Source organism: Homo sapiens, chromosome 8 (genome assembly GCF_000001405.40).
Source record: "Homo sapiens chromosome 8, GRCh38.p14 Primary Assembly".
Lineage (NCBI taxonomy): Eukaryota > Metazoa > Chordata > Mammalia > Primates > Hominidae > Homo > Homo sapiens.
Genome location: NC_000008.11, coordinates 17209140 through 17224826, shown reverse-complemented (window position 1 = coordinate 17224826; position 15687 = coordinate 17209140). Strand labels below are relative to the sequence as shown.

General features: G+C 34.9%; 1 protein-coding gene across 8 annotated transcripts in view; it reads right to left on the bottom strand.

Moving 5' to 3' along the window:
• Nucleotides 1-27: 27 nt before the first annotated feature.
• The window catches only part of ZDHHC2 (zDHHC palmitoyltransferase 2), a 68318-nt gene continuing 52658 nt past the window's right edge, over nucleotides 28-15687 (bottom strand). For all 8 annotated transcript variants that reach the window (XM_011544544.4, XM_011544545.4, NM_016353.5 and 5 more), the window contains 5 exons: nucleotides 14769-14895; nucleotides 14347-14439; nucleotides 9478-9590; nucleotides 7581-7655; nucleotides 28-4571 (listed from right to left, as the gene is read on the bottom strand). In XM_011544544.4, coding sequence (XP_011542846.1) covers nucleotides 7615-7655; nucleotides 9478-9590; nucleotides 14347-14439; nucleotides 14769-14895 — 374 coding nt within the window. In that variant the 3' untranslated portion in view covers nucleotides 28-4571; nucleotides 7581-7614. The remainder of the gene's footprint in view (nucleotides 4572-7580; nucleotides 7656-9477; nucleotides 9591-14346; nucleotides 14440-14768; nucleotides 14896-15687) is intronic.

The window sequence follows — 15687 nt, the reverse complement described above, 5'->3', positions numbered from 1 at the left end:
TTTTTAAAGTATTCAGCTTTCACACAATAAGTGTTTGATTAGTTCATTTAAGATGTTTTCAATTAGGGAGCCATACATACTGACAGAAAAAGACACAAAATCTAAACTGACAAAATAGCCTTGCTCTCATAACTGAGAAAAATACAACAGGAGAACTGACGCATTCTGTAGTATCTTTTTAAATTCAGAATCAACGGAATTTTACCTTGAAGCATTATGCGTTTTTTTTTCAATTGATTAAGCACCTTTATCAATCAAACAGAAGCAATATATTAAGCATTAATAATTTCAGGTAGGATTCAGCTCCTTGTACTGTTAAACCTTCCCCGGAAGATGCAACATAAATCATAGGTTTTCATAAACCATAAAGTAGTACTATTTTTCCTGAGCAAAAGGGAACTAGCCATAAACCAGGGCTTAAAATAACTTATTAAAAGTTTCCCTTTGGTTTAATTGCTACTCAAATCACTCAGATGATTAGCCTTAACAGACATTTTCCCCCAATTGTAAACAATACAGAAATACTGAATACTGGCTATGAACATCAAAAAGATCTATTTTTGAACATTTTTCACCAGTTTGTTTTTGCCCTCACTTTCCTGCAACAAGAAAGGTCTGCAAATGATTAAAAGTGTCTTCTGTTGGCATTGCCCAGGTTATTGTATTTGAACTTTTTGCTGGTATAAGAACAATTCTCAGCGGTGTTGGTGATTGAGCTATTAGATACCTGGACTGCATCATCATAGTTCTTTGCTCACATTTCAAGGAGACTATTTTGAGGAAGGAAAAAAAAAATGGGTGCCCTGTTTCAGAGTCTCCTGAAACACTCAACATTGTTCTGGGAGATACTTCATATTCATAGTTGATTCACAGGAGTCTCTTTGAAACAAGCCTACTTGATTTCATCCTTTCAGTGATGTCCACTGTTTACAAGCCAGGGCACTACTACAATAAAAAAATCTTATGGAAAAGAGAAAAGGAAAATGCATGGTTTGCAACATTATAAGGTTTAACAATTTCCTGTGTTCTGTAACAAAATAAGATCCTTTGGTAATAAATTCTAAAGGAAATCTGGTGGGGAACAGATTGCTCAGTTGTAAAATCTAGGTTAATGTTGGCTTCTACTTAATGCTTTTCATGGCGTTACAAGATCATATTGCTAACACTTGCAATAAAAAGTAGAATCTAGGAATTTTTACCAAGACAGTGAGAAAATTCTAATGGTATCTTTGTAAAAGAGTAATACTTCAGGTATGTAACATAGTCTCCTTCCACATATAAGAGGAAATCGGTGCTGAACTGGCTAAGTATGTGGAAAAGAAGTGTAAAACATTTGGGATTAAGCCACGTGGTTTTCTGCTTTAGAAGAACACGTTTCTGCAGAAAGATATTAAACACGTGTTATTTGTGAAAAATCCACTTGTTTAAATGTCACTTTGGTGAAAATATTCACAGATCAGAATCTGTAGTCTAGGTGTGTGGGTGGGATGGTTGTGCTGGAGGACACCATCATGATTTACAACGTAAACTGCTTTGCATTTACCATTTTCTGAGGTTTGTATCTATGTTTGATCAAAGGTATCAGAACCATCACTTTTACAAACAAGTATTTGACCATATAAGTAAATACCAAATGATACAGTACAATTTCAGAATCAGCCGAGCCCGTTTACATGCATTTCAAAATAGGGAAAATCTGCTAGTTTATAACATAATGGAGTAACACTTTTTTCATATATTTTCTTGAAGCATGAATCACATGATTGCGTGCCTAATTTTTTATAAACATGATTTATATCTTTGATTTCCCTAGTTAAGTGTTTGTCAACATATGCCATATTTCCAATAGTTGTCTATTGATTACAGTGTAGTTGAGTTTTATAGTCTGTTTCTAATTGTCCTCAGAATCACTTAACTACTACAAAGTAAATACCTTATTTTCTCACCACCCCTCCCAAGACCTATGTTATGGCCACATTGAAGACATGAATTTTGCCATTAGTAGCTCTAATAAACTATTAGGAAAATTTATGCTTAAAATAATTTACATTGTCAGTGCAAAGGCAGTTTCTTATAGACAGATAATGTAGGTGATCAACCACTTTATTAGGGTATATTAGGAGTGAATTCATGGATATGAACTTCATTGAATGCATCATGATTATATTCAGATGCAACTGTTCTTTAATATATCTTTGAAATAACAATCCTCTTCCCTACATAATAGCAAATAACTAACGTATATGAAGCATTGGTACACTATTTTTAATGCAAAATTTCTTAAATCTTGATTCCTATATAGTAAAATCTATAAAAGCAAGAAAAATCAAAATTATCAGTTTAATGGACAATAAGGACAGTTGAAGTATGTGTCTTCAAGTTCGAGTTAAGCCATTAAATTTTTTAAAGTAAATACTTAAAGGTAAATTTTATATAAATATGTACAAAATGTAGATCTATTTATTTAGCACTTTGTTCACTCAGATAAATTTATATTGCATATCTAATGAGATATGCAATCATCTCCAAAGATTATAACTCCTATAATTCAAAACAAAACAAAACAACCCTTTAAAGGTTATTCACTATATGAAAACAGAAAGGGAACAATTACAACAATGAAATTGTTTTAACTTTTTCAAATCTGATTCTAATGTGTATTGACATATATTTAATTATATAAAAGACTGTGGGAAAGGGGCATTAACAGTACTCTAGAAGAGTAAAGGATAAAAATCCCTCTTTTTCCCCTAGCTTCCAGTTTGACAAGAGGGAATACTTAATCGAATCCTGTCCACAAAAACAGCTAACAGTACTGTGCTTTGAAAAAAAAAAAAAAAAAAAAACAAACCTGACTTCATATAATTCTTAATACATCCTGTGCTGCTGTTGGTTTTTTTAAGACTTCTAGCAGTAGCTATAGGTTCCGGTCTGGCACTTTAGGTATTTTTAAAAATGACCAAAACGTGCTCTAAAATGAAAGTTAAAATGTTATCATATTTTCTGAGATTTCTTGAAGCAGATTGTCAGATGAAACTCTTCAGCATAATACAAATCTGTGAAAGACTGCAGATATTTCTATTGTTCAAAGAATTGCACTCAAACTATAAAATGGACTTGGCTGACATTGTTTCTTCCATAAGCACAATTAATATAAAACTATATTTTTAGGAAGGATAAGTAATTGCAATGATCTTTTATTCCATTATCCTCTGGCCTTCTAGTTTATTTTGTGTTGAATGTTTGGTTTAACAAAGATTTTGAAAAGTTTATTACCATTTTCTCTTTGATTAAATACCAATTACTTAGTTGGTCCAGTTTTAAAAGGTAATCTGCTTTAAATTCTCAAAATCAGTATCAAAAAAGCATACAGAGTATTATTCTAATTGTTAACATTTACATGAATTATACTGGACTCAAATAAAAAAAACTTTTTTTAAATAGTGCATACAAGGCACAAGAGCTTATTATATTTACTGAAGCTGAACATTCTGGCATCAACACACTTTAGTTTATCTCAAACTAAATTTCCAAATAGCATGCCATTTTAGTTCATGTTGAACTAACTTTCCAAAAGTTGTATGATTTTTATTTAATGATTTGCATAATTTAACTGTAATAGGTGTTTAAGGAAAAATATAGTTTACCTGTCATCATTTTGATGAGACGAGAAAGAAATAATATAGATATCACTGGAGGGTAAATCTATTGACCTATTAGGAATTCTTAAGAGAAATTCAATAGTTTTACTATGTTCAACAGGAGAAATAATCTAAAAAGAGATTTTTAGAAAGCCAAACTGACAAAAGAATGTCATAAAACAATCTTCATAATTGCTATCATAAATTTCCTCCCAATTTAACAAGAAGAGATGAAAATATATTTCTGATGTAATAGAAATGTACCGTATTCTGACAAAAGTATTCCAGCCAACTGCTTTGAGAGCTCAAGCTTCAATGTCCACACTTATTTTCCAGCAGAAAACAAAAGGCTGGAATTAAGTGAGGCAAAAATGGTTGATGATCTTCAACTGCAGGCCACCTGGACTCTGTAATGAATTCATAATTATTACAGTTCACTCAGTCTGAGGCTGGATTCACATCAGAGGAAAAAAAAGAAGTATGGTTTGCCACTTCCACCTTCTTAAAGGTAACAAGTTTTATGAATAATGCTTATCATTATAATGTGACTTGAAATCTCTGAAATCCTAATATCTTAATAGTCTCAATTTTCAGATTCGGAAAATCAGATGATTAATGGAGTTTCTATGTGATAAACTGTGCTACCCATATATTTGGGTAAAAACTGGTCCTTGGATTTATTCCAAGTTTTTTGGAGAAGATGTTTTCCCCGTTGATTAATAAACCAGAACTACTTTTAATATTTAATAGGAATTTGTGTTAGTTGTAACAATGTGTGTATTGGATCCAAAACATGTTATATTTTAAGCAATGGCTTGGAGAGAACTAATCAATTCATATTCTGCATTTCCAGCCAAAGGGACATAGGCACAACTGACTGGTGGCACCTTCCTGTGGGAAGCCTCTTCCATCCATCTACAGCATTGATACCTTGAAATGAAACAGAAAACATGAAACTACTATGTTAACCATAAACACGCAAAACAAACCAACTCATTTCATAATCTGTTTCAATAATATCCCTCATTCAAAACTGTTTACTATGCTAGCAGGCTCAGTAGACGTGCTCTTGAATATGGAACTCTACATCAATACTGCTCAAACTTTAATATGCATATACGAAAGGATCCTATTAAAATGCAAAAAAAAAAATTGCAGACTCTGATTCAGTAGGTCTAGGATAAGGCCTAAGATTCTGCATTTCTATTAATCTTCCAGGTCATGACAATGTTGCTGGTTTGGGGCTTCAATGTGAGTGGCAGGGTTCTATGTTGTTAGTTCTGCATTCATCTGAGGCTGAATGGAGTTTAGGAGTGGCAACTGAGTCAGGAAGGACATTTAGGGAAATGATTTTGAAACTTCATGTGCATAGAAGCACAGCTTTGTTTTGTTTTGTTTTGTTTTTTGAGACAGGGCCTCACTCTGTCACCCAGGCTGGAGTGCAGTGATGCGATCTCCATCTCAGCTTACTGGAAATTCCGCCTCCCTGGCTCAAGTCATCCTCTCATCCTCCCACCTCAGCCTCTGGAGTGGCTGGGACCACAGGCACATGCCACCACACCCAGCTAATTTTTTTTCTTTTTGTATTTTTGGTAGAGACGGGGTTTCACCATGTTGCTCAGGCTGGTCTTCAACTCCTTAGCTCAAGCAATCTGCTTGCCTTGGCCTCCGCAAGTGCTGAAATTACAAGTGTGAGCCACCACGCCTGGCCAGCATTTTTTATTTATACCATATGATAGGAAAGGTTGGTAAGCTAAATTTAATTTACTTTTTAGTACTAACTATGGGTTTAGGCACATTATAACCATCTGGAAACTGCTGAACAAACAAATATTTTATAAAAAGGTGACATCATTTACTATTGTAGTTCAAAAATAGGAGAAAAAATATGAAGTGTTTTTTTTCTGTTTTTTTTTTTTTTTTTTTTTTTTTTAGAGTCTTGCTCTGTCACCCAAGCTCCCAGGCTGGAGTGCAATGGCACGATTTTGGCTCACTGCAACCTCTGCCTTCTGGGTTCAAGCAATTCTCCTGCCTCAGCCTCCTGAGTAGGTGGGATTACAGGTGCGCCACACCACATCCGTCTAATTTTTGTATTTTTAGTAGAGATGGGGTTTCACCTTGTTGGTTAGGCTGGTCTTGAGCTCCTGACATTGTGATCCACCCATCTCAGCCTCCCAAAGTGCTGGGATTACCAGGCGTGAGCCACCGCGCCCGGCCAATATGAAGATATTTAATATAAATTAGGCACATCAGTATCAAACTATTATTTGATATAAATACAACTGGAATGAATTGCAAATCTGAGATGTAAAGCAGGAAAAAATTATTTTTAAAAGTCTAGTTTCTATTAGCTACTTTAGGGAAAGTTTAAGAAAACAAAACATGTTACTGCAACTGGTTGTATCGATAGAATAGAAAACATGACATCAGAAAATCGGGTATTTTTAGATCTATAGCGCTGATTCATGCTGCCATTTTGTGATTATGCCTAATCATGCCATATTTGAATTAATAAAATCAAGTTTCTGTCAGATTTTTAATTTCAATGTTTTAATTTTGTCACTTATCCATCAAATGTTGAGAAACTACTATGTGTCTGGCATTGTGCAAGGTGTTGGAGATAAATAACCACAATACTGGTATTGTCAAAATACTGGGAAGTCTCGATGGCTTTTATATAATATTACCATGTAAATATGTAAAACACTTAACACACAGAAAAATTCCTAATAGCACTGACCTTAAAAACAATGGTTATTGCAACTGATGATTTCAAAATATTGAAAAAAATCCTGTGAAATTCTATGTCTTACAGAACTATGTTCTGTATATTTTATTTGTGGTATTGGCTGGTAGTGACTCATATTTGCTATAGCTATACTCTAAAATTACATTCATAGTTACATTCTAAAATTATTTTCAGAAATTTAATAATGTCTTTGCTATTTAATCAAATTCAGATGAAATTTTCACTATTTTAACCAGTTATAGTCAGTCTGACCTACTGTAGCAACAGGTATTCAGAGCTGATCCTGCTCTTCCCAAAATCAGATACTAGTCAGCTGGCAAATTGCCAGGTCAGCATTTTGCTGACAATACATGGCTAACTTACCAAAACCAGAACAGACAAATAAAAACAGATATCCATGAACTTTGATGCAAATCATTTTGTTTTACAAGTGAATCTCTTGCTTTTCATAGACTTTAGGATTCTAGATTGCCGTTATGTAAAGAGAGAGTTATCTTGCTATCTTTAATATTCAGCTCGGTAAACTGTTTATTATATAGTTGTTTGTTCCAAAGGGGTTCCTTATTGTAGCTTTTTATTGACTGCAGGCTTACAAACAGATCATATTTTAAAGAAACTGATTTGGAACTGCAGGTTTAAAAAAAAATAAGGCTTAAAGAAAATGATTTGGAACACCTATTATTTTAAGGTTAACACATGCTATAAGGCCCTACTATGACCCAAAAATGGGAATGACAGTGTGCTAATGAGTACATTAATGAGATATAATTATATTGCACTTCGACTTAGAGTTTCCTAATGGATGGTCAAGGATATGACCACTGTATATTCTGAAAGATGAAGAAAAATTAAAAATAATTATTCTAACTTCCTATAAAATGACAAGATAATTTTTACATATAGTTCAGTATTTTAGGATTGATCCCTACCACTTAATGCATTAATATAAAATGACTCTTGTTCATCAACTTATTTATATAATTAATCAAGTTAACACAAATACCAGCTAATACTGAAGCTAGGTCTGCACTCAGAAGCCCCAGCATGGCTAATGCAATCTCACAAGTCAGGTAAAAGATCTTCTATATGAATCACTCACAAATTATTAAAAATGTTTATGGAAACTATTTGCCCTAATAAAATTAGAAGACTGTTAAAAATATAAAACAATAAAGGGAAAATTATCGTACTTTTATAAAGTATGAATTTATCTTGCTTGAAGAGTTAAGTCTCATTTTCCATGGTTAATGCAGGATTGCTCATACCTTAATGAAAGCACATAAGTTAGCATTTTTGGTTGCTTTTGAACAAATAGGCAGAAACTTCTTATTCATCTATGAATAAGGAATCCCTTGGTAGACTTCCAAAGGTGCCTTGTACATAATAAGGGTATATATAAGATGGTGATATAGAAACACACACACACCCGTTATACAGTGTCAGTTACAACCACTATCTCTCTCCCACACACACAAAACACTAAAAACAGAAATAGACATCTGAGGAAGTAGAGAAACATAATAATGAAAGATATATTGACCCACACTGCTCACATCAGCTTACATCAACGTTTCCAAATTCTTCCTCTACCAACCTCATTCTAGTCAAACCAATCTTTGAGCACTTTCTCACCTCATTTTTCTTGCTTCTTTTCCTTCCTATACATCATCCTTTACACTTTAAGTAGTTCTTCATTTCATCCAACTAACAAAAAAATTAATCGAACATGCCGAAGAATTATAATAGCATGTGAAAATCAAGAAACCACTGCTATTTTAACATAAATTATGTAAGATGAAATGTGAATCCCTTCTGGATGAAGAGGAATTCTTTGTTTTTCCACGTCTCAACAATTGACCCCCAACTATTTATCACTTCTCTGCCTCTAACGAAAATGATGGATTCAAAGAACAAATCAGTGTCATCAACTTTTGTTTAGGCAATGCCTAGTCCTTGCCATAGATTAGAAAGTGAAATGGCATGTGTGAAGGTCAAGAGAGTGACCAAATTATGAATAGTCAAATAATGGGACCCTCTGGGAGGCAAATATATTTCTTAAAGATAAGGCTAAAGAAAGCTTCTATTTTAGGAGAAGATGACTGATAATATATTAAATAATGACTAGAATATTTACTCAGGATCATCCATTTGTTTTTCGCTACCACTAAATCCCAGAGGTTTCTTCAAACTCTCGTACTACCTGACTTTGGTTCATTACACTTTAAAACGTTGACTGGTTTATTTGAAAAGACTAGAAACGAAGGAGAAAAGGTTAGTAGTCAATCTGAAGATTTTCTGGCTAATAACGCCTTAATCACAGATGTATGGCTTTAACTCCTTTATGTGGACAACACACATATATACACACACATGCATGTATGATCACCCTATTTTGTCTACTCCTTATCAATATTGAGAAATAGGTAGTCTTTTGAAAAGAACAAAGCTAAGTCTAAAAGATGTTAGGTAACGTGACACATATCACACCCTACTAGGAGCCCAAATTAGGGTTTTTAAATCAGGTCTGACTTCGGAGCCTTGCTTGTTCCTTGCTAACAAACTACACTGACTGAAGAAAACAAAAGATTGAAATCAACAACAGTAACAAGAGGAATGTGAGTGGGATATGAAGAAATCGCAGGCAGCTGAACTTATGGTACACAGTAACTTTACTCAGACATTTTGAAATTGGACAGAAATCTTGGAGTAAAAGATAGAACTGAATAATTTAAGGTCCTTTTCAGTAGATATTTATCTTCTATCTGATTTGATTGTAGTTTTTTCATTTTTATACTTTATATTTTGAATTTACTTCTATCATTTTATTTGAGGAATGGTGATAAAGATTTGGTTCTTTAAACAGAAAAAAGGCAATGCAGATCCATCTTTCACAAAATGATTTTCTGCTGCTAACAGGTTATTAACGAACCTCATAAATAGTTCTTTGAAAATAATTCTGAATTTAGAATAGAAGTCTGACTCCAAACTAAGAAAACATCTGTAGGTAGTATAATGGATTTTTTTTAACCACGTTTACCTTCTAAAAATAAAATATGTCAAAAAACAGCCAAACAAGCACACCCTTACCAGCTTTGCATTTTCCTGGGTTTATGCTGCTCTCCGTCCAAGACTGAGAATCAGTAAGAAGGTGGCTCTGGGACTCTCTCAATGGCTTTGCAGGAAACTGATGGTTTTCGAGACTGAATAATAATTGAATAATCATCAAAATCATCATAAGCTAATTTTTGATAGTAAAGTTGATTGTTTCTCAATGTATGGAACCAAAACCACTTGCAATGCAAGATGATGCAGGAGGTACCCAAAATAACGTGGGGAATACAAGAATAAGACATTAAATAGCACTGACTCGCGGTGAGAAAAGTGTTCTATCTTCAGTCTCTTTTCCTTCTTCTGCTTACCATAAGATGATAATCTCTAACACTGGAAAATCTCCAGAGAATAGTCTTCAGCCCCAGGCTTTAGCAGGTACTTAGAACTTAATAACAGTATTTTATTATCAATTTTATGTATGTATTTATTTTTGAGGAAGAATCTCACTCTATTGCCCAGGCTGGAGTGCAGAGGTGCAGTCATGGCCTCAACCTCCTTCGCTCAAATCAATCCTCCTCCTTCAGCCTCCCGAGTAGCTGGGACCACACCACCACCCTCAGCTAATTATTTTGTTTTATTTTTTGTAGAGTGGACTCTCTATGTTGCCCAGCCTGATCACAAATGCCTGGTCTCAAGTGATCCTCCTGCCTTAGCCTCCCAAAGTGCTAGGATTACATGCATAGGCCACCACACCGGGCCTATTTTTAAAGTTATATTCTATTTATAGAAAGTTACGCGAGTTTCTCATTTATGAGAGTGGTATAAACTTTGGTTTAAAAAAAGCATAAGTGCCAATTTAAATACAGAAAAATATTAATTTTGTAAGTGATATGTGGATATGGAAGAAAATATGAATGTGATGGTAGGAAGACAAAGTTGAGGAAAAAATGGCCTACAGCTTCTAAAGTGGCCTAACTGGTCTTGAACACAATTTTCTCTATCTTCTTCTGTAAAACTGAAACAACAACTTTGAGCAAACTATTTTGCAGGAATATAAAAAACATCTGAAATTATCAGGTCTTACAAACCCAATGTTCAGTCTGGGGAATGAGCAGTCTTCTAAGAAGAATTTTCTTTAAAATTTAGGTGGAAATGCCATACATCAACATATTGGATGGCATGAAAAAGTATACATAAAAATATTTCACTTAGGAAACATTATTGGCATAGAAACTATTAGTGATGTTTTATAATGTTCTGAAATAGTAATTGTAACAGTATTCAAAAGAAAAAAACGACTTAAAACTCTTTCAAGAATAATTTCACATATTTGAGTTCAATTATATATAGTAACTATTATGTTTTTAAAGGATATATGCGTATGCTTTTTCTTCTTAATTACCTCATATCTAAAATTTTAGAATATTTCAATTTTGTGCAGCTTTAACAACTACCTACTAAAATTTTGGAGGTAAATCTTAAAAAACAGAAAACAGCATATCTCCACACAGGTTTAAATATATTATATAAAAAATCTTACTTTAATTCTTATTCTTCTTCAAGAAAGGGACCATATAACGGGTACAGAAGACTAACCAGATCCTGGGATCCTGGTTTAGGGACTCTGAAGATTCATTACTGCTAACAGGACTCTAGCAAAGGGCAAGAATCCATTCACTGAACAATGTTTATTGAGCACCTGTCACTTTAATAAACAAAGTCTTTGTTCTTATGGAAATTTCACTGTTATGGAGGAAGAGAAATAAACAATATATACATATATGAATGAAATAAGTCAGGTGATAATAAGAGCTATAACAATCAAAAAAATCAGGCTGGGCATAGTGGCTCATGCCTGTAATCCCAGCACTTTGGGAAGCTGAGGCAGGTGGATCACTTGAGGTCAGGAAGTTCGAGACCAGCCTGGCCAATATGGTGATACCCCATCTCTCCTAAAAATACAAAAATTAGCCGGGCATTGTGGTGTACATGTAATTCCAGCTACTGGGGAGGCTGAGGCAATAGAATTGCTTTAACCTGGGAGACAGAGGTTGCAGTGAGCCGAGACTGCGTCACTGCACTCCAGACGGGGTGATAGAATGAGACTGTCTCAAAAAAGAAAAAAAAAGAAAAAAAAAATCAGTGTAACAGGAAGAGGCGGAGAAAGTTACTATTTTACAAAGGGTTATCAAAGATTCCCTCTATTCTGAAGTTACGCCCGAACAGAATATAAATAAAGAGAAGACACAGCTCACTGAGATCTGGAGGAAGAATGGTAAGGAAAGGGAATTAGCAAGGACAAGGCACTACATAAGGAACATGCTTGGTCCATGTGAGGAACAGCAAGATCTGTGTCTGAGGATTGTAAGTGAAAGGAAAGTAAAAAAGAATGACATCCAGAAGGCCAAGGTGAGAGGACTGCTTGAGCCCAGGAGTGTGAGGCTGCAGTGAGCTATGATCACAAAACTGCACTCCGGCCTGGGCAACGGGCTGTTAATGGAGACATTTTATTATAACAGAGACATTACTAACTTGCTTTAATAGAGACAGGAAGACCCTGTCTCCATTAAAAAAAGAAAAAAAAAAGAATGACTGTCTGGGGTCAGATCAGTCTTGTTAAGTGATGGAACAGACATTCATTAGCTTTTATTCCGAGTAAGATGGGAAACTAATAGAGCTTTCAGCAGAAGAGTGACACAATCTGACTTATATTTTGAAGGGAAAATAGATTGGAGTGGGGCAAAAATGTTACATCAGTTAGAAAACTACTGAAGTAATCCATGGGAGCAGGGATGAGGGCTAGGACCAGGAAAGCTGCCTTGGAGGTGGTTAGAAAGTATTCAGATTATAGATATACTTTAAAGAGACATCTGATAGGATTTGCAAATGGAGTAAATACAAAGTAATTGAAAGAGAGGAATCCAGGATGACCCCACAGTTTCTAGCATGAACACGTGGGAGAATGGAGGTCACTAATACTGATAATGGAAGCATGGAGGAGATTCTGGTTTAGGGTGGTGATGAGGGTACACATGGCTGGGAATCAAATTCAAAGTTCTGCTCTGAACCTGTTTAGTTGGAGATGATTTTTAGGTGTCCAAGTGGGTGTGTCAAGTAGACAGCAAGATATTCAACTCTGGAGTAAAGAAGAGAACAGAACTTGCCACGAAAATTTTATCTGGGCTCAACATGGGAGATAGTAGAATTCCGCAGAAGAAAGAGACTTTAGCTGTCTAAATCTGACCTCAACATTCAAAGGAAAGGAAACAGAGGCCTCAAAAGATTATTTAACTTCTTCAAGATCACCCAGTTGGGTAACAGTGTCAGAACTAAGATTTCTCCCAAATCTCATGGTGCCCTTAGTGGAAGGAGAAATATTATCTCTAAAACCAAAATGATTTCTTAAATTATTAAAAAAAACACAAAGGGCAAAAAAGTATTATAAACTACTACTGAATTTTGTAAAAGCTTGAAACGTATTCTGAATAATTTATTAAAACTAGATTTTTCTGCATTGAGGTATATGAAAAACCATAAACATTTAGCTCTGTGGGATTTTCAAGCCCAAATGCACAAGGCATGATCTAGTAAAAAACTCTGATGCCCATGAATGTCCCTGTGAAATATATACACTGGGCCCATTCACTAACTGGTAGGGTCTGGCCTGTACATAGCTCACTCTAGGGATGGGGTGACAAATACCTTTCATCTCTTTTGACAATTTAAAAGGATTTTAAATATAAATTCCTTTTACATTTAATTCCCAATTTAAAAGGGCAGAGGCAGGAGGATCGCTTGATCCTGGGCGGTCATGGCTGCAGTGAGCCATGATCACTCCACTGCACTCCAGCCTGGGTGACAAGAGAGACCCTGTCTCAAAACTAAAATGGAAACAAACAAACAAACAAACAACAACAACAAAAAGAACTTTAGAATGGCTACCAGGAACACTGCCTTGAGGTTTATGGGGTCACTCCAGGCTCCCTAGGAAAAAGTCCTGTGATCAGTAAGAAATGTTCAATATGGAGTGTTGGTGTGGATACTGTGTATGTGGCACTGCAGCAACTAAGAAAAGCTCTAACGTTTAATGAAGAATGATATTATGGTTATGCTTTTGCTACTGGCTTTCATTGAAAAATCAGAGGAATGGTTATACTCAAATCTGTCACAAAGGTATAAAAACTGGTGTTTCAAACCACTGAAAATTCATACATAGCATTTTAAAAGTTTAAGTAACTTTTCCTTTTGCCAGTTGGTAGCACGTTCAGAATGAAATGTCAGGTCTTTCTCTGGCCAGCCTCAAATTCTTGATAGTCTGGAATCAAAACAAACTTAAAGCTGGAGCAAAAGTCTCCAGACAATGAATTTCTAAGACTCTGGCTTCTCTCTCCACAGAAATGGCTCAGATAATCCTTAGAGGTCTTCCAAGGGCACTAAGTCCATAATATACATTAAAATGGAGTTGTCAAGAAGGTGTCTGGGGGTCCATTTGATCTCCAAAAGCCTCAAGTTTCTTTACTCTAACAGTTATCACAGAAAGGAAAGATATGGTGGGTCAGGGGCGATTTTACCCTGTCTGCCTACCTGAGCAGTGGGTAGCTAATTTTGACTTACATTTTTTTTTCTTTTAAGCACTACATTTAAAAAATATTTCAGTCAACCAAAATGTATAGACAATTAACACCTTTTTACTCACACTTAGATTAATAACACCATTTTACAAGTATAATTGAAGCTTCCAATGTATCCTCAATCATACTTTCTTTTTTCCCTCATTTCAAGTGGAAACCATTGCAGTAAATTTTCTTATGGTCTTCATTTTTTTTCAAAGGAACATATAACCAAAAGACACAATATGGTAAAATATCTTATTTGAAAGTAAAATGAAAAAAAATATGAGATTACTTTTTAGCTGTGGAATTCAGCCCTGCAGGAGTAGATGCTTGTTCAGGATCCTGGTTAACAAGGCAAGTTGGAAAGGAGCAGCCATCACCTAGACTAGAATTAAAATAAAAATTTAGAACTGAACCATACAAAAGACAACGGAGTGAAACCCTGCCAAAATGCTGATGTCCGAGAGCAGAACATGCTATACTCTAGGCAAAAAAAATGTGTATTAGACATTGAGCTCAACATAGTGTTCAGGAAGATGATGAATTAACTGACTTCCACACTGATATTATGGTGAATCATAGAATAATATTTTTTAAAAATAAGAGTTCCTACACAGAATTACAAGCCTATGGAACTAGAGGCTTTTCCTGAAACTATCTTTTGCTGTATTATTTTCATTAGTTTAAAGCCTGAAAATTTTAACAAAGAAGTACCTTGAAAAAATGGGTAGCAACCAGTACTTCTTCTCATCACCAAAAACTTGTCGCATGTTTTTACTGAAACCCAAGCTGAATCCATTCTTATCTGTTCCATGTCGAAATACTGGACTTCTGAATGCCTCTAAAAAAAGATGGTAAAGGAATCACATGAGTAAAGAACATATTTACTAGCAATCCTGAATATTTATCAATAATTGAAGTAAATGAAGAAACTCTGAAAATCAATGGCTAGCTGACTGTGAGGGCTTATGTGCCTGTCAACAGCCCTGAAATATAGGGTGTCCATTCTGTTTTAAAATATCATAAGATATACCTATTTTAATTTTAAAATATGCCTTTTTATTATAATAGTACATGTGCATTGTAGAAAATCAGAAAATACAAACTAGCAAATAAACTAAAACTGCATCTTCTGGATCTTTTGATCAATAGATAGATAAATGGATGGATCCATAAACATAGATCTACAAATCTACACGTGTATTTTTTAAGAAAACCACAATCAGACTATCTTTTACATACATTCTACAACCTTTGTTTTTAAGTAAATCCATTTGTTTATTTTTGAGTCAGGGTTTCACTCTGTTGCCCAGAGTGGAGTACAGTGGTATGATCATAGCTCACTGTAGCCTCGAATTCCCAGGCTCAAGCAATTCTTCTGCCTCACCCTCCTGGAGCAACAGGTGTCATGCCACCATGCCTGGCTAAGTATTTTCCAATTTCGTTGAAATTGGTTCTCATCTAATAAAATTTTTCCAGCTGACTATAAAATCTACTTTTAAACTAGTTTGTCCAAACCGGGATCCAGTCCAGAACCATGTATTGCATCTGGTGATGCTCATTCTGCCTATCGAAGCTGGTTCAGAGAGGCTCTGGGACTTGCCTAAGGTCACACAACAAACACACGACAGAC